We start from the raw sequence: 22,209 nt of genomic DNA on the forward strand, positions 1-22,209 counted from the left end.
TCTTCTCTATCAATAGTGATATAATAGCACCAATTTCATATAGCTTTTGTGAGAATATATTTGCAAAGCTCCTAATGTAATTCATACTGTATCATAAATTCTCAATAAATATTAACTAGTCAGCCCTTGCTATTAATTGTAAAGGGAAGTCATTACTATTTTCATGAATATTATGGTTTACTTTTATTCTCAAGCTACGATTAAATAAGAGTTTTTGTTTTTATCTCTAGTTTATGGGCCAACTTTTAGTATATGGAAGAATTATCACATTGCAAATGAAGCAGATGAAAAGGTAAAACAAAACATAAATTTCTTTATATGTAGGAAGGTTTTGTGGACATTAACATTTTTCCACGAGTGAAGGAAGACCATAAAAAAAATCTTGTTTTCATTATCAGAAAAGCTTTCCTAACCAAAATCCTTTTTGCTCCTATTATCACCACACTAGTTCAAGATCTAAGACCTAAATTAGTATTGCATATAGAATGGATTGACTGAGGAAAGAAATGGAAACTAATTAGGAGCTTAATGTAATATTCTGAGTTTTATCACTGTTCTTTTGATAGTTAATGTCACAATGTGATAAATCGAGTTTCATATCTGGAAAAGTTTGGTTCCAGGAAAGAATTGTTCTTATCTAAAAAGCTAAGTTTCTTTTTATTCAAAAACTACGCAACTAATTTCATTTTTCTGTTTGCCTTTACTGTCAGGAAGTTTAGTCTCAAGTTAATGCTAATTACAATACTATGTGAACCTAGGTGACTGAAATATTTGCTTTCTTTCCCTCCTATGTGTAACTGATTTTTTTTTTTTTTAATTTAAGAGACAGGATCTCACTATGTTGCCCAGGCTGGTCTTGAACTCCCGGGCTCAAGCAATCCTCCCGCCTTGGCCTCCCAAAGTGCTGGGATTACAGGCAGGAGTCACTGTACTGGCCATGTATCATTGATTTTTGATTTAGATACAATCATTTCTATTTATATATTACTGCATAGAAAACTTTTAATATGAGAAGGCTCACATTCCTTTTGGAAGCATATAAAGTACAAATGTTGTTCTTTTAAAAAAATAATAATTCATATGGAAATCTTGGGGATTTATGATTCAAAGGCAAAAATATAAGTGATGACAACTGTGCTAATTTTTTTTATCATTTCATAAAATGAACTGCACATTTAGACTCAATATAGAAAAAGCACTTCCCAAATCTCAGAGTCTAGAACACCTTAAGAGGTTCTATATAAGCATAGAGCTTGGGAGCCTGCTAAATACAGCTCTATGGCAATAGCACTGCAGGAATCTTTGCTTGTCAAAGCCTCTTCTCTCACAACAAATGAAGAAATAAGCTAATGTGAAAGGAAGGAGAGTGTTTCAGTTTGAGCCAAACCTCATGTAATGAATTCTTATGACTGTATGTTGTCTTGGCATCCATTGTGAATATAAGTTGGTCTTTCTTATACCAGAAGCAGGGCTTAGTCACCCTTGACACAATTTCCACTTCTCTTCCTCCTCACAGTTCCTCAATGTAGTTGATTCAGATATCTGCCTGAGACAACCACCTCCTGGCGAGCACCTCACTGTGGTACAGCTAGATACAACCTACTTGACTCGCCCACTGACCCCCACCCTCCTCATGGACTGCCTAGATATGCCACAGTGACCACCTCTCAGTCACAGCCTGACACCATGAGCTTGTGCCTGCTCGCTCTAAACCCATCTGTTAGAAGTCTCTGCAGGAAACCTGCTTGGGTAACACCTTGGGCCCCCAAAAAGGCTTTGGCCCACAGATCCCACTCTCTCTCTGTTCCCCACCTGCTGGTTGAGTGTGTATATCCTGGACCACTCCTCACTTCCCATTGGTCCCGGGAGGCCTGCTGCCTCTTCTGTGTCCCAACTGACCAACACACCGGAACCTAACTCTCCTCCTCCTAGAGAGTGGCTATCTCTGTGGAAATAAACTGGATACAGGTCAGATGAGAGCCACAAGGATGTCTGCCAGTATAAACCAGTTTCCAGGGATGTCTGGTCATGGGTCAGACACTTAACATCAGGCCATCTGCCAGGATAAACAAGTAGCCCATGAAAGGCACACTGCAAACATCCAGGACCTCCCCTGGAGCCCCATCAGGGAACAGCTAGAGTTTACAGCCACTTTCCAGAGAGACAGACCTGAAGACCAAATTATAGGAAAATCATAACACCTTACTTTTCTGAAATTTGCTAAGATGATAATGAACTATTACAAGTAAAAATTGCTAGCATCAAATGCTTATAGTAAGAAAGAACTCAGCCAGTGGCTCATGCCTGTAATCCCAGCACTTTGGGAGGCTGAGGCAGGTGGATCACTCATTAAGCTCAGGAATTCATGACCAGCCTGGGAAATGTGGCAAAACCTCGTCTCTAAAAAAAATTTAAAAATTAGCTAGGTGTGGTGGTGCATGCCTGTGGTCCCAGCTACTCAGGAGACTCAGGTGGCAGGATGGCTTGAGCCCAGGAGGCAGAGGTTGCAGTGAGCTGAGATCACGCCACTGCACTCCAGCCTGGGTGACAGGGCCAGACCCTGCCTCAAACAAAACAAAACAAAACAAAACAAAACAAAACAAAACAAAACAAAACAAACTCCTATGTGAAGGATGTAAAGTTAAAAAATATGATCAATGTTTTGCTATAAAATTGAAAATTTCCTTTACTCTTTCCAGCTTTATACAATTTAGTATAAATAAAACACTTCAGTTTTTCAAGTTCATTGGCATATAACTTCATTGTAATAAAATTTTAAAACATTTAAAACTATATTTAGAATGGCTGTAATTTCTGTCATGATAAATTAGGCTTCAAGGTTTACTATTACTAATTTTTTTAAAAGAAAAGTTATATATGACACATTATCATGCTTCTAACTTTAGATTTGTATGGCATGTCAGAATTACATATAACAGCTTTAGGTAATATAAAAAACAATGCTTTTTGGAAACAGAACTATTTAGAATCTAGCTGTGTGACTTCAGGGAAGCTATTTAAAACTTTCTAAATCTTTTTACCTGCAAAAATGGAGCTAATGTTTTCTTCAAAAGGGTGTTTTGAGTACGTGGCACAAAGTAGACCCTCAATAAGTGTTATTCTCCCATTTATTTTATTTCAGTACATTCTAAAATGGCAAATATTCCCTGATAGCTTCAAAATTTCTAGATATTTTTCTAATGAAATAGTACATTTTGTTAAGTAAAAAGGAAACTACAATTTTACTCAAATGAACACTGAGTATATAATATTATTTCACACACTTGTGTTTTAAAATTACACACCAGAAGAGAGTGATAGCAAATCCTATGTTTAATAGACTAACTAGAACAACACTGACTCCATAACCATTTAACAATGGTCACATTTAAGGTAAAAGGCCTAAAAGTAAAGATAATTATAGAAAATGTAGACATTGCAAAAATCCATCCTTCTCCACAGATAAAATGCTGCTGTGGCTTTGACACCAATCTTTTCTCCATAATTCTGATATAATTTCACACATAAGTTTCCGTATAGTTGAAATAATAAAAGCCTTTACAAACCTAGCAAAGACACATCAGCGATGATGAAGTATCCTCCATCAGGAACTATGGGTTTTAGGCCAACACTTTCAAGTAAACGTACCATCCGATCTCTTTTTACTTCTAACTCTTTTGGCAAAGAATTAAAGTAACATTCTGGGTCATCCATGCGCTTGATGTCAATCCAGAAAGCTTGAGCCAAGGCTTCCTGTTTGTTAAGAATCAAAAAATATGAAAAGGCATATGGCAATGTTATTTATTGCTTAGTTTATTGGTATAATAAATAGAGATGATCTGAGTAAAATTATTGGCAAAGAAGTCACTCAGGAAATAACAGTTGAATTCCTGTGAACCTATATTAAACTCTATAGGTTAATGGAGGAATCAGTTATACCTAAATGATTAAATCTCATGTGAAGAACTGAGAAGGAGTCCTGAAAATTCAAATTGAAAAAGAGCTGTTACTTAAAGGTGGCTTGCTTGGAAACAAAAAGACATTAAGATATTTTCTGCTGAGGTGAGTTGTAGAATGACTTGCTAAATCTAAGTCAGAAGAACAACCAGAGAGTAGTCAGCCTCTCACCATTACATTTGGGGACAGAGTGGAAATGAAAGCTCACCTACTGTGCAAAGGAGAAATGTGCCTTTCTTATTCTCCATAGGTGTGGAAATCCTTGCTGGAATTATTCATATGCCAGGAAGTTGGTCAAAGTGTAAGAGGGACTAGAAATGAGTTTCTGGAACATCTACAGTAATTCCTCTATCTTTCTTCAAGAGCCAGGACAGCAAACTGGGCCAAGGAAAAAGCCAATGTTGTTAAGTATAGTGGACTGAATGTTTGTGCCCACTCTCATATTCATATATTAAAATAGTAAACCCCAAGGTGATGGTATTAGGAGGTGGGGCCTTTAGGAAGTGATTAGGACAGAAGGGTAGAGCCCTCAGGAACAGGATTAGTGCCCTTACAAAGGAGGGTTAGCTTGCTCCTTCCACCATGTAAGGACACAGCAAAAGGCACCATCCGTGAAGAAGCATGTCCCCACCAGACACCAAATCTGCTGGTGCCTTATCTTGGACTTTGCTGCCTCCAGAACAGTGAGAAATAAATTTCTGTTGTTTATAAGCCACCCAGTCCAACTAAGACATTAAGGACCAGGCAGGTAAGAGAGACTGTGTGGCAAGAGATGAGACTGGAGACAGAGAGGGGCAAGATCACAGAGATTTTATGCCAAAAGAATGCAGTAAAACAGAATTAGTAATAAATCTCCAGTACTACAAAATCTTGGAAAATAAGGATCGATTGCCTTAGCCTGGAAATCTGTGGTTTCCTGGAACCAAACATGGTTGTCCCAGGACAAAACAGAGCACCTAGCTGAAATGGAGAATAAGAGTGTTCAGAAAAAGATGTTCTGCATTCTTAGCTATATCTTTTTTTTTTTTTCTCTTGGCAACTTGTTCATTTACTATAGGAGATACTGCCTTAGAAAATTCCAAGTATAAGGAGACATAAACATCCATCCTAACTACAGCATTATCCTGGACTCCTTTCTTTTTCACATATCCCATATGTAACCTATTGACAAATAATGTTGGCTCTACTTTCAAAATATATTCAGAGTCCAATCACTTTTTACTGCTTCTACCACCCCCATCTTTGTTCAATGCACTGGCATTTCTCTCTTGGATCACTGTAACAGCTTTCTCACTCAATGAGGCAGTCAGAGTCCATTTGCTAACACAAGCCAGACCAAGTCACTCCTGAGTTCAAAACTCTCTAGTGACTTCCTATCTCACTCAGTCCTTACAGTGACATGCATGCCCCAGCTCCATTGGACTCCCAGCTACCTCTCTGATCTTAGCTTTTCCTACTCTTCTCTCAATCATTCCATTCCAGTCTCTGTGCTGTTCTCTGATATTAACATGCCAGCCAGGCTGTCTACCACTGGGCCTTTCCGCTTGTTCTCTCTGTCCAAAGGGGTTTTTCTCTAGGTAACCATGTGGCTGCTTAATCCCCTTCAGTTAGTTGTTCAAATGTTACCTTATCAGGGAGGCTTTCAAAGATTACCCTATTTAACACTGTATATCTCCCACCTGGAGCTTTATATCCTTCCTCTTCCCTATTTTATCTTTCTTCTTCATATCTATCAACATCTTTTTTTTCTTTCTTTTCTTTTTTTTTTTTGAGACGAAGTCTTGCTGTTGTTGCCCAGGCTGGAGTGTAGTGACACGATCTCAGCTCACTGCAACCTCTGTCTCCTGGATTCAGGCAATTCTCCTGCCTCAGCCTCCTGAGTAGCTGGGATTACAGGCGCCTGCCACCATGCCCAGCTAATTTTTGTACTTTTAGTAGAGACAGGGTTTTGCCATGTTGGCCAGGCTGGTCTCGAACTCCTGGCCTCAGGTGATCCGCTCACCTTGGCCTCCCAAAGTGTTGGGATTATAGGCGTGAGCCATTGTGCCTGGTTCTTTTGCCCTTTTAACTGCCTTCTAGAAAAATACTATTTTTTTCAGCATTTTGATTATCCATAGAATGATGGTAACTAAATCCCTATTTCCATAATATATATTAAAAATATTAAATATTAAATAATATTTAAATAGTTTTTCTTTTTTACTTTATGATGTATTCTAGAAATCTTTTTTATCTCAGTACAGTAATTATAGTATTTCCCTATTTTCTTTCTTGTTTCTTTTCTCTTTAGCAGCCAGTAGACAGAGTAATGGGTCCCAATGACTTCTAGGTCTTAAAACCCAGAACTTGTAAATATGTTACCTTGCATGGTGAAAGGAACTTTGCAGATGTGATTGAAATTAAGGAGATTATCCTTAATTAATTGGACAGATTATCCATTGGGCCCAATGTTATCTCAAAGGTGCTTATAAGGGAAAAAGGGAGGCAGGAGGGTTGAAGCCACAGGAAATGTGTTGACGGAAGCAGAGGACAGACTCTCCTAGAGCCTTCAGAAGGAACACAGCAATGCCAGCACCTTGATTTTAGCCCTTTAAGACCCATTTCTGACTTCTGAGCTGAAGAACCGTAGGATAATAAATTTGTGTTGTTTTAAGTCACTAAGTTTGTGGTAATTTGTTATAGCACCAGTAGGAAACTTAATATGGTCATATAACATTTCAATGTTTGGATAGATCATGGTTTATGTAATCAATCGTCTGTAGATGATAATGGATTCTCCTCAATCATCTGCAATGAATAGCCAGGTAAGTACGTAACTTCTTACATGTGCAGATAGCTTGATATGGTTTGGATCTGTGTCTTCATCCAAATCTAGTGTCCAGTTGTAATCCTCAATGTTGGAGGTGGGGCCTGGTGGGAGGTGATTGGATCATGGGAGTGGTTTCTCATGAATGGTTTAGCACCATCCCCTTGATGCTGTTCTCATGAGAGTGAGTTATTGTGAGATACGGTTGTTTAAAAGTGTGTTGCACCTCCCCACTTCTCTCCCTCCTGCTCCAGCCCTGTGAGACATGCCTACTCCCTCTTTGCCTTCCACCATTATTGTAAGTTTTCTAAGGCCTCTCCAGAAGCAGAAGCCACTATGCTTTCTGTACAGCCTGTAGAACCATGAGCCAAGTAAACCTCTTTTCTTTATAAATTACTAAGTCTCAGGTATTTCTTTACCTAAGTGCAAGAACGGACTAAAACACAACTTTAGGGTAAATTCTTAGAAGATGGATTGCTTTCATGGGGCAAACACATGTGTAATTTTGTTTGGTGTTGCCATTGTCCTTCACAGAATTTGTAGCACTTTAGATTCCTGCCAGCAATGTTTAACACAGCTAAAATTGTGTTTAAAAAAAAACCCAAACCATGCTTGATAACAGTGAATATGTATCTGCTCCCCAAATTCCAAATTATATTAGAAGGCCCTGCAACAGAAGGATAGAAGGAGAATTAAGTCAATTCAAATATGCAATATAAAAGTAATACCTTCACCAAAAGACAATGCTTCTACCCTGAGTTACTATAACACTTACCTGTAAAGGAGTTGCACAAGTATAAATCGTGTTTTGTTGAACTGTCTGTAAATGTTTTATCAAATGATTTGGACCAATGGACCAGCCAAGCTGGGAAAGGAAAAGATAAAAGATTTCAGAAAATCTAATTGTATATAACAAATCTGAGACAGCAGTTTAAACTTAGTGCAATTGTTAAATATATACAATCCTAAAATGTTGGCTGGGTATGGTGACTCACACCTGTAATCCCAGCACTTTGGGAAGCCGAGGTGGGTGGATCACTTGAGGTTTGGAGTTGAAGACCAGCCTGGTCAACATGGTGAAATGCTGTCTCTATAAAAATACAAAAAAATTAGCTGGGCATGGTGGTGGGCACCTGTAATCCCAGCTACTTGGGAAGCTGAGGCAGGAGAATCACCTCAACCCAGGAGGCAGAGGTTGCAGTGAGCTGAGATCACAGCACTGCACTCCAACCTGGGCAACAGAGTGAGACTCTATCTCAAAAAAAAAAAAAAAAAAAAAGTTCACACTATGAAAGTAGTACAGTATTAGTACTTAGAATCATTTCAATGGTGTTCTTTTCAAGGAACAGCTTCCAAATGGAGTCATTAAACTCTGCTTTCATCACTAAGCTCTGCCTTTCTGAAGGTAAACAGCCGGCGATCATTATTAGCCTTTTCCTTTCTAATAATTTGCTACTTCTGATATTCTGGAAGATTAAAAACTGGTAACAAAGCTTGTTTGAATTACAGATTAAAGTAACTCTGAAAGAGGGCCTAAGGGACTTGTAATTAAAACATACAGACTTGATTCTCCAGGCCTAATTTTTGTTTTGATGCTCCCTCCTTCTTCTTCTTCTTCTTTTTTTTTTTTTTGAGACGGAGTTTTGCTCTTGTTGCCCAGACTAGAGTGCAATGGCCGGATCTCGGCTCACTCAACCTCCGCCTCCCAGGTACAGGTGATTCTCCTGTCTCAGCCTCCCAAGTAGCTGGGATTACAGGCATGCGCCACCACGCCCAGCTAATTTTTTTGTATTTAGTAGAGATGGGGTTCCACCATGTTAGGCTGGTTGAGAACTCCTGACCTGAGGTGATCTACCCGCCTCGGCCTCCCAAAGTGCTGGGATTACAGGCGTGCGCTACCACGCCTGGCCGATGCTCCCTGCTTCTTACCCATGCTCAGGAGAGGTGAGGCTGGAAGAGAATTGGGTTTTAACTGGATAAATTATTGTAATAAATAATACAGTGGTTAAGTGCATGAATTCTGGAGCCAGACTTCCTGTACAGGCTTGAATTTATTAGCTGGGTAATCTCAGGCAAGTCATTTAACTTCTCTGTGCTTTAGCTCTGTCATCTGTAAAATGAGGACACTAATCATACCCACCTTATAGTGTGGTTATGAGAATGAAAGAAATTAGTATATGTAAAACATTTAGAACCTGGTATATATTTAGAACCTGCCAAAATATTAGCTACTATTATTTTTCTCCTTTTATATTAATATGCAGCAATCTGAACACTTTTTTGCAAAGAAAAAGGTGTCATTAGTTGATCACTTATAAAAGGGAAAATGACCTAATTTTTCTTATGTTTAAAGAAATAATTAGGTCTCAAAAAGGATAAAACTCAACATGAAAGCCAAATAAGTCAAGAGATAAGCAAAGATCACCAGGTATAAAAATCTATATAAACTGAATATGTATGCAATGATTCATTTATTTGTTTACTTATTTATTTCATTATTTTTTTAAAGATGGTCTTGTTCTGTCTCCAAGTGGCTGGAGCGCAGCTCACAGCAGCCTCAACTTCCTGAGCGCAAGTGATCCTCCCATTTCAGCCTCCCAAGTTGCTGGGACTGCAGGCATGCACCACCCTGCCTGGCTAATTTTTAAAAAATGTATTTGTAGAGACAGGGTCTCACCATGTAGCCAAGGTTGGTCTTGAACTCCTGGCCTTAAGTGATCCTCCTGCCTTAGCCTCCCAAAGTGCTGGGATTACAGGCATGAGCCACCATGCCTGGCCAGCATTTAAAACACAAACCACTCAACAAAAAATAAATAATATACAGGCCTATTTTTAAGCAATTAAATTCTTACTCATCTTACCTTCCAGCCAGTTACACTGAAAGTCTTTCCAGCACTTCCTATTGTTATTGTTCTCTCCCACATACCTGGAAAAGTAGCTAAACAGAGGAGGAAAAAAGGGTAAATATTGTTTTCCAATTAATCACATTTAGTATAATCTAAAAACATAACAAAGATACATAAATTCAATGAAAATAAGTGTGTTATAATTTAGCCAGTATAGTTATTTCTAGTTTTTTTTTTAGATAATGTAACTTTAATGCAAAACACAGACGAAAAGTTTACAATACTGTAATGTTGCACCAAGATAGTATATAAATAGATTTAATAATTTTAAAATTAGTTCTGGGGCAGGAGTGTCAGGGGCACCAGCAGGCAGTGTTCCAGACTGCCTTAAGTGGCAGCTGTCACAGGAGCTGTAGCATTCAGTGTTCAATGTTAGCAGTGACTGCAGGTTCGATAAAATAGGCCAGTGGCAGGGCTTAGGTTGTGATCCTGATTATTGTTTAGGCCCCTTTATTTTGCCTATTTTCTGAGTGTATTTCTCCAGGCTTCCTAGAGCAATGGCTCTTAAAATGTGATCTCACACTAGCAATATCAGCATCACTGGGCAACTTGTAAGAAAGGCAAATCACTGGGCCTCATCCCAGACCTACTGAATCAGAAACTCTGGGAGTGGGACCCAGTAATCATGTGTGCACATGTGTGTGTGTGTGTGCATGTGTGTGTGTATGTGTGTATGGGCGTGTGTTTTGCTAACAACTTTATTGGGATATAAATCCCATAAATTCACCAATTTAAAGTATGCCATTCAGTGATTTTTTTAGTATATCTATAGATCTGTGCAACTATCACCATAACCAATTTCAGAACACTTTTTTTATCTCAAAAGAAGCCCTGTACCTTTTAGCTATCACTCTTTAATATCCTCATGGCCATTGTGCCTGAATGAAACTTATCAAACACACATATTTTCTCCGTAAGGAACATCACAGCCTTCTTGCACTTAGGAATACTAGACAGCACTTCAGCACTAGGCTTGGGGGCCATTTTAAACAGCAAAATCACTGTACAGAGAACAATTGCTTATAGTGTGAATTGAAACAGAAGCATAATGTTGCCTTGTTTGACCTCGACTGGGAATGTGTGTAGGGTGACTCAAATTTCCCCTTTATTGATTTTGGAATTACACATATATTTTAGGAAGTAGGCAAATTTGCAAATACAGAACTCAAGAATAATGTGAATTGGCTGTATAATGGTTTTCAAGTTGTTTAACATCTTTAATAAAGACATTGATTCATTCATACATCAAATATTCATTAGCAACCACCAGGTGCTAAGGACTAAGGTCTAGAGGAACCAAAAATGAATAAGATGCAATTCTTCAAAAAATTTAATGTCTAGTAGGGACATGAGCCACATACAATGACAACTGTAATGCAGTGTGATAAATGCTGTAGTAGGAGGCATGGAGGGTGATGCAAGAATAGAAGAGGGTGTTGAGGGTGGCTTTCTGCAGCCAGTAATTCTTAAGCTGAGACATAGAAGACCACATAGGCTGTAGCCAGGCAGAGAAGGGGAATGAAGATATTTTGGGCTAAGAAAATGCAGGTAACAAAGGTCTAGAGGTCTAAAATGCAAGAGTTTGTAAATTTTGCTAGACATTGGTAATAACTGGTAAATTACCATTCTGTCACTCTTCTGACAATGCCACCCACAATACTGCTTTGTGGATTCCTCAAGTAATTTACTTGTGAAGTTCTTTCCATGCAACCCACAAGTTTTTCCACTTGTTTTTCAGAAGCACAAGTGGGGGCTCTTGTATTGTCCTTAGAGTGTTGGTACACACAAAGGGAAAATAAATGCTCATCTCTGGGAATCTAAGCTTCTGCTTTCTTGAAGTAATCTGCTCATAAGCAAGTAAAGTGCCTACTAAAATGTAAGGCAGCTACAGAAATTTCCAAAACAACGTATAAGTAATTTCAGTCTACCCTGAAATACCTGCTAAATTTGAAACAGTAGGAAAAGCATATAAATCAGAAAAGTTATAATTTTATTCTCTGTGGAATATGACAAAACCCAAAAAGATAAATGAGAAAAATAGTTAGAATGTCCACTTGAAGAAGGAATACTTTAAGATTTGATATAAATAATTATATCCCTTCTGAGACATTTCTGGTCTTCCAAAATACTCCAAAAGAACACTATGACACATGCCCCACTTTTCTATTTGATCAGAGAAAATCTAAACTACGTATAATGCAGATTATCACTTCCTTTAAAGTAAAGGATACATCATATATTAAAGGACTACTGTTGCACTTTGCAAATTGATGTAATGGCCATTTTGTAGCCATTTTGCATCTTTAATGTAACAAAGACTATTGTATTCGATAGAATACCTAAGTTTTAATGCAAACAAATTGCACTTTCTAAATAATGAAATAGTGTATCCATTTTTTGGTCTTATTTAAACTTTATGGGCTGCTACAAATAAAAAAATCTAAGTTCAAAATATACATCTTGCATATCTTTAGTAAATACTGTTGCATATCTTTAGTAAATAATGTTACCAGTTATGCTTTACCCTGAAGGGCTTAAAATGAGTAGATCTAAACAATAAATTTCAAGATGATCTAAAGTGATTTTTTGGGATGAATATTGCTACACTGAGTTAATTACAACAAGAAAGTAATTGTTCATGTTAATCTGATTTTCCACTGGGAAACAGTTCAAATTACTTGAGACAGAGGTCACCAACAAGATGGGCAATTGTGGCCTCTGATACAATTTAAAACATGATAACATTTTGGTGTATTAAGGTGTCACACCCTGCAAATCTCTGGCTGCCTTCTCTGTTTATATATTCCCCTTGAGAAAATTCATTCTCTTCCATGTGTCCAGCTACCACCAACATTTTGATGACTGCCAAAAATATATCCCATTATAATTTGATTCTGACGATCAGGCCTATAATTCCACTTGTCCCCAGATATCTATTCTTCTATGTCCCACAGACACCCAAACTCAGCAAGTTTAAAGCATGAGAAGCAGGAATTCCCTTTGCTCAGCCCTTCCATACAAATCTGCTCCTCTCCATATTTACCCTGGTTAAAGGTCTCATCACTGCTGAGTAGTTCAGGCTAGAGATCTTAGTAGCATGCTTGTTTTCTTCCCACCTTCAAATGCTATACTCTATAGTTTCTAAATAGCCCCGATGTACCATCTTCACTGCTAGGTTATCTGATTTGCTTAAGACCCTCCTCTGTGGCTGGCTCTCATCTTTGTAAAAAAAAAAAAAAAAAAATCTAGTCATGGAACCATTTCTCCTGTTTTGTTACACCTTTTGCAATAGTTCTCAAAGTAAGCTCACTGGCACTCTGGTGATCAAATTAATGTGCAGAATTTTAAAAAATCAATGTTAAGTTTTCTACCACACAATTTTCTTAAGCCTTTAGCAAATACTACCACTTATCTGATAGTGGATGCTCCAATAGTGAAACAGATGAGCATTTAGTAAATGCATATTAATGGCAAAATCAGAAAAACTCAAATGTGTTTATTTCAATAGCTTTTTGTTGTGGACAAGTATGAACAGAAGTGTGATTTTTATATTGGCTTCTAATTGTTGGATTTCTTTTAGGAAAATTGCTATTACTTTCAGGATGGAATTCACAATATCACCATTTCATGATGTAGAACACTGTGATCTCATGGTGATCTACCACTAAAGTAAGTTTCAGAACCACTGACCTCCTCAACAAAGTTTATACTCTATCTCATATTCAAAGTCCTTTAGAATCACCCTAGTTTTCCACCCTGATCTATGCCAGTTACTAAAACACACCCTCATAAATCAAACTGAGGCGAGGTTCTATGGCTTATGCCTGTAATCACAGCCCTTTGGGAGGCCAGGGCAGGAGGATCGCTTGAGTCTAGGAGATTGAGAACAGTCCGAGCAACATAGTGAGATGCTATCTCTACAAAAATTTTTAAAAAATTAGCCAGATGAGGGGGTGCAGACTTGTAGTCATAGCTATTTGGGGGGCTGAGGTGGAAGGATTGCTTGAAAGCAAAAGTTTGAGATTACAGTGAGCTCTGAGCCACTGCACTCCAGCCTGGGTGACACAGCGAGACCCTGTCTCTTAAAAAAAAAAAAAAATTAAGGCTGGGCACGGTGGCTCACACCTGTAATCCCAGCACTTTGGGAGGCCGAGGTGGGTGGATCACGAGGTCAGGAGTTTGAGACCAGCTTGGCCAACACGGTGAAACCCCATCTCTACTAAAAGTAAATTAGCCAGGCATGGTGGCATGCACCTGTAATCCCAGCTACTTGGGAGCCTGAGGCAGGAGAATTGTTGGAATCCAGGAGGCAGAGGTTGCAATGAGCTGAGATCGCACCACTGCACTCCATCCTGGGCAACAGAGCAAGACTCTGTCTCAAAAAAAAAAAAAAAAAAAAATTAAATAACTTATTTACCTTTCTTCTTCTTTGTTTTTAAAATTTCAATAATCATTTACCTTTCTTAAGTGTATCTTGATCTTTCATACCTCCTTATCTAAGTACATGCTAGTTTATGTTTTAGGAGTTTAGTTTCTATTTCTCTGTTTAGCTAATTCTCTATCTTTTGGCCACTCCTTTTTTATTCCCCTCAAACAGTCGCTTTCTCTTCCCATCTCTATAGCAACTTGTAATATACTATAGGAATAATTATGGCACATGCAACAATGCAACAATTTAATATATAAGTGCATTACATTTCTTATTTTTATTTTTCTTAAAAAAAATTAGCCGGGTATGGTGGTCTGTGCCTGCAGTCCCATCTACTTGGGAGGCTGAGGTGGGAGGATTGCTTGAGCCCAGGAGATGGAGGCTGCAGTGAGCCAGTGGTGCCTGGGCTCAAGGGATCCTCCCACCTCAGCCTCCAAGTAGCTGCGACTACAGGCACAGACCACCATACCTGGTTGATTTTTTGAATTTCTGTGTAGAGACGGGGTTTCTCCATGTTGCCCAGGCCAGTTTTGAACTCCTGGACTCTAGCAATCCACCCACTTTAGCCTCTCAAAGTGCTGGGATTACAGGCATGAGCCACTGTACCTGGCCTAAATTTTAAAATTTATCTATCTCTGCCACATTTTTTAGTCATCCTTCTCTTAATCTTTTCATCTTTCATCTTCATTTATTCAACAATTTCTTTCTAATTCTCTACCATGTACAAGATTCTATGGAAAATGGGGATGCAGAAGAGACTAAAACAAACAAAATCCCTCCATTACTGTGGTTTAGAAGTAAAATATATAGATTCTGATATTTACTATAGAGGAAAAAACAAAACAAAACAGAAAAAGGACAAAGCAAATGCTGGAGGGAGAGGTGTTAACTATTTTCAATGTGATGGTCATGAAAACTGACATTGGACAAAGGCCTGAAGGAGGTGAAGGATATTTGAAGTCAGGTGGATACCTGGAGGAAAAGTGTTTCCAGGCAAAGGAAAGGGAGGTGCGAAGACCCAAAAGTTGCAGCCCAGTTTGTAATCCTATAGTTGACATGGTTTGGACTACCCCAGCAGACAGTACGGCATTCATGAGATAGCCCAGTAGTAATGGCTGAATCTCAAGCAAGGGCCAAGCAGCATACCTGACTACCCCTGTAATTTCTTTCTGTTGACTTGGCATTTTGGTAAGTTGTTCAGCATAGACCGTCTAGAACCTTTTCAGGCACAAGAAAGCTCCCTGTGTCTTATGTACCAAGTAATTGCTGGATTTCTGCTAAGAAGCCAGGGATATATGGGCAAAAGAACTACTTTTCTGGTATCATAGCTTTATAGTATGATCCAAAATCTCTTACTCTTTGTCCTTTGAACTATTCATCAATTCACTAAAGTATTGCTCATTTAAATACTATTTTAAAGTGTTCATACAGACAGATACCCATTACAAAGACTGTTTTAGAGTTGGTCTGGGATGCTTTCCAATCAGTTCTTCCATATGTGCCCAAACACATTTAGATATGTGACTCTGTGTTATAGTTGGTACCTATTTTTAAGTGCTTATTTCCAGAATATACAAGCCATTCATAAACCTCATCGCTGATGCAGAGTGTGTCATATTTGATGCAAAGGTCAGCAATTACTTGCAGTTCCTCTCTGTTATACACCTACACATAATAAAGGAAAGAGCACAGCCAATTATTCAACATGTGAGAAAATGATAGGTCAGAAGACTGTATAAGGAGATGAGACTTGCTTACCTTGCCAAGTGGGTTATGTGGAGTATTTAGTATAATAGCTTTGGTTTTGGAATTAAATTTACTTTCCAGTTCTTGAGGATCTAATGTCCAGTCAGAACTAGACCATCTTTTTCCATAAACAGGTTTCTAAGCATGAAGAATGAAGATATAATTTAATTCAATTAAGTCATGTTTACTGTCTTACAAACGAATAACCTAATAAGGAAAAAAACATCAAAGAAAGTCATGGCAAAGGAAACTGAATAAATTACCAACAAATGCTTTCCTGCAGTAGGAACAGAAAAAAAACTAGAAAAAGACTAACAAAGAAGATAAACAGAAATAACTGGGCTGTAGTTCTGCTTAAGAGCCTAAGAAAACCTAAGTCTTATGCTCACACCTGTTAAATGGAAAAATAAGCCCTGTCAACATTAACTGCTGCTAATATTACTTCACAGGAACTAGCTATAACTATGGTTAACATGTCTGATATTGTAAGGCTAGCTGAAGATTTTGTGACTCACCTTAGTGTATTACTTATGTTAAAAATATTTTAAAAAGACAACTAGACAAATAGAGATATACAGGAAATCTCCAAATGCAATCAAAGTAGAAACTTTATCATGACAAAGTAATTGGTATTTTCAAGACTTCTTAAGTCTTGAAACTTTGCCATATGAACCATACTGGCAAACTTACAGATCTCAGGGGAATAAAAACAGGTGTTGCTCCAGCCATTCTCACCATGGGCTCATAGCAGTCATAGAAAGGCACTATTAGTATGACCTGCAATAAAAGCAAATAAGATCACAACCTGTCAATCATTTATTCATGTTAATAATACTGTGTACCTACTATGGGCTAGGCACTGTACTATGTGTTGGGATACAGCAGTGAAAAAGGCAGGCTTTGCCCTTGTGGAGCTAACATCTGAGGGGAAGAGACCTCGGAGACAAACTTGTCCAGGTAGTCTTAATTGGACTCCTTGGTATCTTAGGGAGATCTATAAATAAGCATGCAGTGGGAGTATTTGAAATTACATATAAAATTTCATATATGCATAGATAGATTTACCTGGAGAATGGGACTATCACATTCTCAAAGGGATATTCCAGGCAAAACGATTAAGCATTTCTTCATATTTCAAATCAGAAAATAAAATCTAGAATATAAGTGATGTATAAGCAGTGACAGACAGCAGGCTATGTGGGAAGAGAACACTGTAATGTTCCCTGGTATAAAGTGCTAATTTAAAAGCATTATCTTGAGAGTAAAGATGTTTCTCTCTTCTCAAAAGCACGGTTAATTTTTGTATTTTTAGTAGAGATGGGGTTTCGCCGTGTTGCCCAGGCTGGTCTCAAACTCCTAACCTCAGGTGATCTGCCTCAGCCTCCCAAAGTGCTGGGATTACAGGCCTGAGCCACCACACTCAGCCTCATCTGTGAAGTTCTCAGGGACTAAGACAATCTATCTTTGTAACTCTAGTGGGAAATATAAAGCTTAATACAAGGTGAGAGCACAATAAAGGAAAATAAATTGGAGAGGCAGGGCAGTAGAGTGGGAGAAATATACCTGTTACTCTTCGCCTTGATTTTTTCACTTTTATGATGTGAACAATTCCTCTCTCTCTTTTTTTTTTTTTGAGAATATTTATTGCGTCCTCACTATTTTAGGTGCTGGCAGTAAAGCTATAAAGTTCTCCTAGAACTTATATCCTACTGAGAGAGGCTTATAATGAACGGAGAGACAAATAAGGACATTAGATAATTTCAGATAGTAATAAATGCTATAAAGAAACAATAAATAGGTCAGTATGATAGCAAGTGACATGTATGTGGTTTCAAAATACTAGATAAGTTGATGAAGGAAGAAAGAATAGAGGAAAGAAAGCTAAGGGCTAAGCCTTATAATACTCCCAACAGAGTGCAGAGAAAGAAGCAACAAAGGATTAACAACATCGAAGTATGAGACAAAACTATGTATAGGATTAAAGGAGTTTATGTATATGAAACTGTGAACTTCATTAACATGTTTCCTTAAACATCTTGTCTGGCATAGTGAAGGGAATCAAAGTTGTAAAAGAATAACATAACACAAAGCAGATAGTGGCATCTTTCATAAAAGTGGTATGATAAAGGGTTATGAGAGTTTAAAGAAAGTTAACAATATAGATCAGGATAAATATTCGTTCTGCAGTCCCAGCTTAAGCAATGTCTCTCTGGAGCTTTCCAGACTTAGCAGAGGTGATTGCCTCTTCCTTTTGTCACTACCATAGTGTTCCTCGTAATCCATTTGCAAGTCTGTGTTCTCTACTAGACAGGGAACACCTTCTGCATAGAATCTATCTTTAAAACATCTTCTATCTCACAGTGCTTAGCATATATTGGATCCTCAGTATTTTCTGAATAAATGAAAGAGGCAAAAAGTATTAAAGTAAGGCTATTGGAATGCTAATGGGAAATACGGGTAGAGATGACTGAGGTAGTTGCAAAAGTTGGTCATACCTCACAGTACTAAATCGCAGAAATCATTTTACCTTCCTATTATATTAATACATTCTCAGCTGGGCGTGGTGGCTCACGCCTGTAATCCCAGCACTTTGGGAGGCTGAGGCAGGCGGATCACCTGAGGTCAGGAGTTCGAGACCAGACTGGCCAACATGGCAAAATCCCATCTCTACTAAAAATACAAAAATTAGCTGGGCTTCGTGGCGGGCGCCTGTAATCTCAGCTACTCAGTAGGCTGAGGCACGAGAATCACTTGAACCCGTGAGGTGGAGGTTGCAGTGACCAAGATCGTGCCACTGCACTCCAGCCTGGGCAACAAAGTGGGACTCCATCTCAAAAAAACAAAAACAATCACAAAAACATCCTCACATGGGATGGCTTATACAATTACTGGGCACACAAAGACATTGATCAAAAACTTGTAGACCAAGTTAAGAGTAAAGGTTATTTTAGCAATGAAAACAAAAGATTCTTTTTCCCTGGCAGTGTTAGTCCCTTCCATCTGCCCTTATTTAAATAGGCTATAAAAATAAGAATAAATTATATGCAACAAAATGGATGAATCTCACAGACACAAAAATAAATGAATGGATCTAGACCCAAGAGTATACACTGTATAATTATATTCATATTAAGTAAAAGAGCAGTGAAAACAAGCCTATGGTAATAGAAGACAGAAGAGTACTTACCTCTGGGAGAATATAGACTCTGAAGAGGAACAAAGAAGTTTTCTGGGTACTGGAAATGTATCATATCTTTGTCTGGTTGTAGTTGCACAGAAATTTACACAGTAATTTATCCAGCTGTACATTTAAGATTTGTGAACTTTACTGTACATGCATTATACTTAAAACATAATTAAAAATAAAAAGAGAAAAGAGTAGAATATAAGCGAAAGATTCAAAGGTGGGACAAATGATAATTGATTAATATGGGTATTACGATAATGTTAATATACTTACTTCATCTCCCTCATCAATTAATGCTTGAATGGTGTTAAAAAGAGATCCATATGCTCCTACTGTCACAAGGATTTCTTTATTTGAATCAATTTGCTTTTGATAAAGCTTTTCATACAGATAGGACAGAGCTTTCACAAGTGATGGATGGCCCTGTTGGATTAAAAATAAGAACAAAACCTTGAATTTAAATATGGGACCTACTGTTTGAGGTAATATGGCTCTAAAATGTAAGAATTTTTAAAATTTGGATTTGATGTTTATAATTACCCCAAGAAAATTTATATTTTTTAATGGCAATAAATTTTTTAAAATTTCCTACATTTAGAGTATTCCCACACTATTTGTCATGAAGGCTTGCTAATGATTAAAACTTCTTACTAAATAAAGGGTTTGGGATTATATAATTTCAAAGTATTTGCTTTGAATAAAAATCAACCATTTGTATTTTTTGACAGTAATTAAATCATATTGAAAAGAGTTGGATTTGTTTCCCAGTTAAAATAAGTGAAAAAAACCCACTTTAACTGTATACCCACTCCTTGGCTCTTCCTGATTGCTGGAGAGATGGTTATGCCAACCAATGGACTAGGGAAAGAGAACAAAAACAAATTCACCAACGACACGAACACTAGTGTTGATGTGATAGCAAATGTTAGAAGGAAGTGAGACACTACTCACACTGACAGTCAAGAGAGCAGTGGTTATCCAAGGTAACTACTTTCATAGGAGAAGTGAAGGGATTATGAAGGTACAGCCTGAGGCAAGCAGGGGGTCTGAAGACTCCTGGATTAGCTCTCCCTAAGTTCTCTTCTAGGCTCTCTCCCCTTCCTTCCTTTTTTTTCTTCCTTTTCCTTTCCCCCTCCTTGTTTTATTTGGTATTTAGGTCAATATTTCCTGTTGTTTTCTGTCCAGCATCTACCTCCTCATTTTGCTTTTGAAGTACCATCCTGATTTTCTATCCCTTGAGAGTAAGAGTGCAAGTGCAGGTCATGTACCTTTGTTTGAAAGCACTTTGGGCTCTGGAGCAATAAACTGAGTTCCTTTGAATTTTACTTTAATAGCAGGTCTAACAAATTCTAGCAAGAGGAGATCTGAAAAGCAACTATAAACACTATATACATTTCTTAGAATGATAAGTGTTTGTGCTTTTAAAATTAAAAATTTAAATACAAAAATAATTTATGCTTCATGCAATAAGTAAAACTAGGCAAAGATGTATAAAAATTACAATCGCTCCTCAATATTATTTCATTCCCATCCCCCTGAGGTGATGAATGTCCACAGCCTGGTGATAGTGCAACACCACTCTCAGTGCTTATACCAATATAAAAACACATAGACATGTATATACCTATGTATTTACAAAAACTAGAATATACATATTAATAAATAAGTGGGTATGGTTGTGTTCTAATGAAACTTTATTTACAAAATTTGACATATTGGGTCCATAGGCCATAGATTGCAAAACCCTGCTATAGACCAATTTGGGAAAACTGACATAGACAATATTTAGTCTCTCAATCCATGAACATCATTCCCAATTTATTTAGGTATTGCTTAATTTCTCTCAGTAATGTTTTATAGATTTCATCGTACAGATCTTGGATATATTTTAAAAAATTTATTCTTAAATGTTTTGTGTTTTGGGATACTACTATAAATAGTATTTAAAAAATTTTACTTTCTAATTGTTCATTTTAATATATAGAAATACAACTGATTTTTGTATATTGGCTTTGTGTCCTGTGACCTTGCTCAATTCATTTATTAGTTGTAGTAGGCTTTTTTTTCTTTTAGAATTCCTTAGGATATTCTATGTACACAATCATGTTTTCTGAAAATGAGTTTACATTTTTCTTCTTTCTAATCTATGTATCTTTATATCTCACAGGACTCCAGTACACTGATGAATAACAATGGTCAGAGTGGACATCTTTGCTGTCTTTTCAATCTTACTATATTATGTGCACTACAGGTGTAATCTGTAGGTTTCTCATAGATTCCTTTTATCAGAGTGAGAAAGCTCCATTCTATTTCTAATTGGCTGAAAACTTTTATTATAAATGAGGGTTGAATTTTGTCAGATGCATTTTCTATATATACTACATAAGATGATCTTTTTTTTCTGATAATATAGCATAATTGCAATGATTAATTTTTGGATATTAAAACTAATCCTGCATTCCTATGGTAAACCTTACTTGGTCAGGATGTATTACTTTTTATATCTTTATACACACAGGCACACACACATGCACACACACATATCTGGATTTGATTTGCTAAAATTTCATAATCTTTGTTTCTATGTTCATGAGAGATATTGAACTGGAGTTTTCTTTATTTCTTTCGCTGGCATTTTTTAAATCAGTTTTTGTATCAGGGTAATGCTGAAACTAATTTTATGAGACCAGCATTACCCTGATACAAAACCCCTGATTAAAAGTTCAGACAAAACCATTAGGCATTTCTTTATTTTTCAAATTACAAAAATTGTTGATCAATAAGTAAAAGTTTTTCATCCTGCTCCACTTTCTGAATAAATGTGTGCAGAACTGGTATTATTAGGTTTGTGCAAAAGTAATTGCGGTTTTTGTCATTAAAATTAATGGCAAAACCGCAATTACTTTTGCACTGACCTAATAGTTCTTCCTTAAATACTTGATAGAATTCACTAATAAGCCATCTAGGTATTGAGGTTTGTTTGCAGGAAGACTTTAATTACAAATTCATTTTCTTTCATTGACATAGGGCTAGTTGCATTTTTCATCTCTCCTTGTGTCAGTTTTGGTAATTTGTATCTTTTAAATAATCTGTTCATTTCATCCAAGTTGTCAATGTACTGACATAAAATTATCCATAATATTATCCTATTATTGCTTTCATGTTTGTATGATCAGTA

The 22,209-nt window shown here is 37.3% G+C and overlaps 1 protein-coding gene across 9 annotated transcripts in view; it reads right to left on the reverse strand.

The window, feature by feature from the left end:
- The window catches only part of KYAT3 (kynurenine aminotransferase 3), a 71,917-nt gene that overhangs the window by 24,481 nt on the left and 25,227 nt on the right, over positions 1–22,209 (reverse strand). For 5 of the 9 annotated variants that reach the window (NR_146183.1, NM_001349447.1, NM_001349448.1 and 2 more), the window contains 7 exons: positions 19,305–19,454; positions 16,535–16,621; positions 15,857–15,982; positions 15,643–15,763; positions 9,625–9,701; positions 7,539–7,628; positions 3,567–3,753 (listed from right to left, as the gene is read on the reverse strand). Coding sequence is in view for 6 of the 9 variants with exons in the window: in NM_001349447.1 (NP_001336376.1) it covers positions 3,567–3,753; positions 7,539–7,628; positions 9,625–9,701; positions 15,643–15,763; positions 15,857–15,982; positions 16,535–16,621; positions 19,305–19,454 (838 nt within the window). In the remaining 3 variants the exon portion in view is untranslated. Of the gene's footprint in view, positions 1–3,566; positions 3,754–7,538; positions 7,629–9,624; positions 9,702–15,642; positions 15,764–15,856; positions 15,983–16,534; positions 16,622–19,031; positions 19,189–19,304; positions 19,455–22,209 lie in introns of all 9 variants that reach the window. The other 4 variants (NM_001349449.1, NM_001349450.1, NR_146185.1 and 1 more) reach the window with 3 other exon arrangements.

This window comes from Homo sapiens, chromosome 1 (assembly GCF_000001405.40).
Source record: "Homo sapiens chromosome 1, GRCh38.p14 Primary Assembly".
NCBI classification, from domain to species: domain Eukaryota; kingdom Metazoa; phylum Chordata; class Mammalia; order Primates; family Hominidae; genus Homo; species Homo sapiens.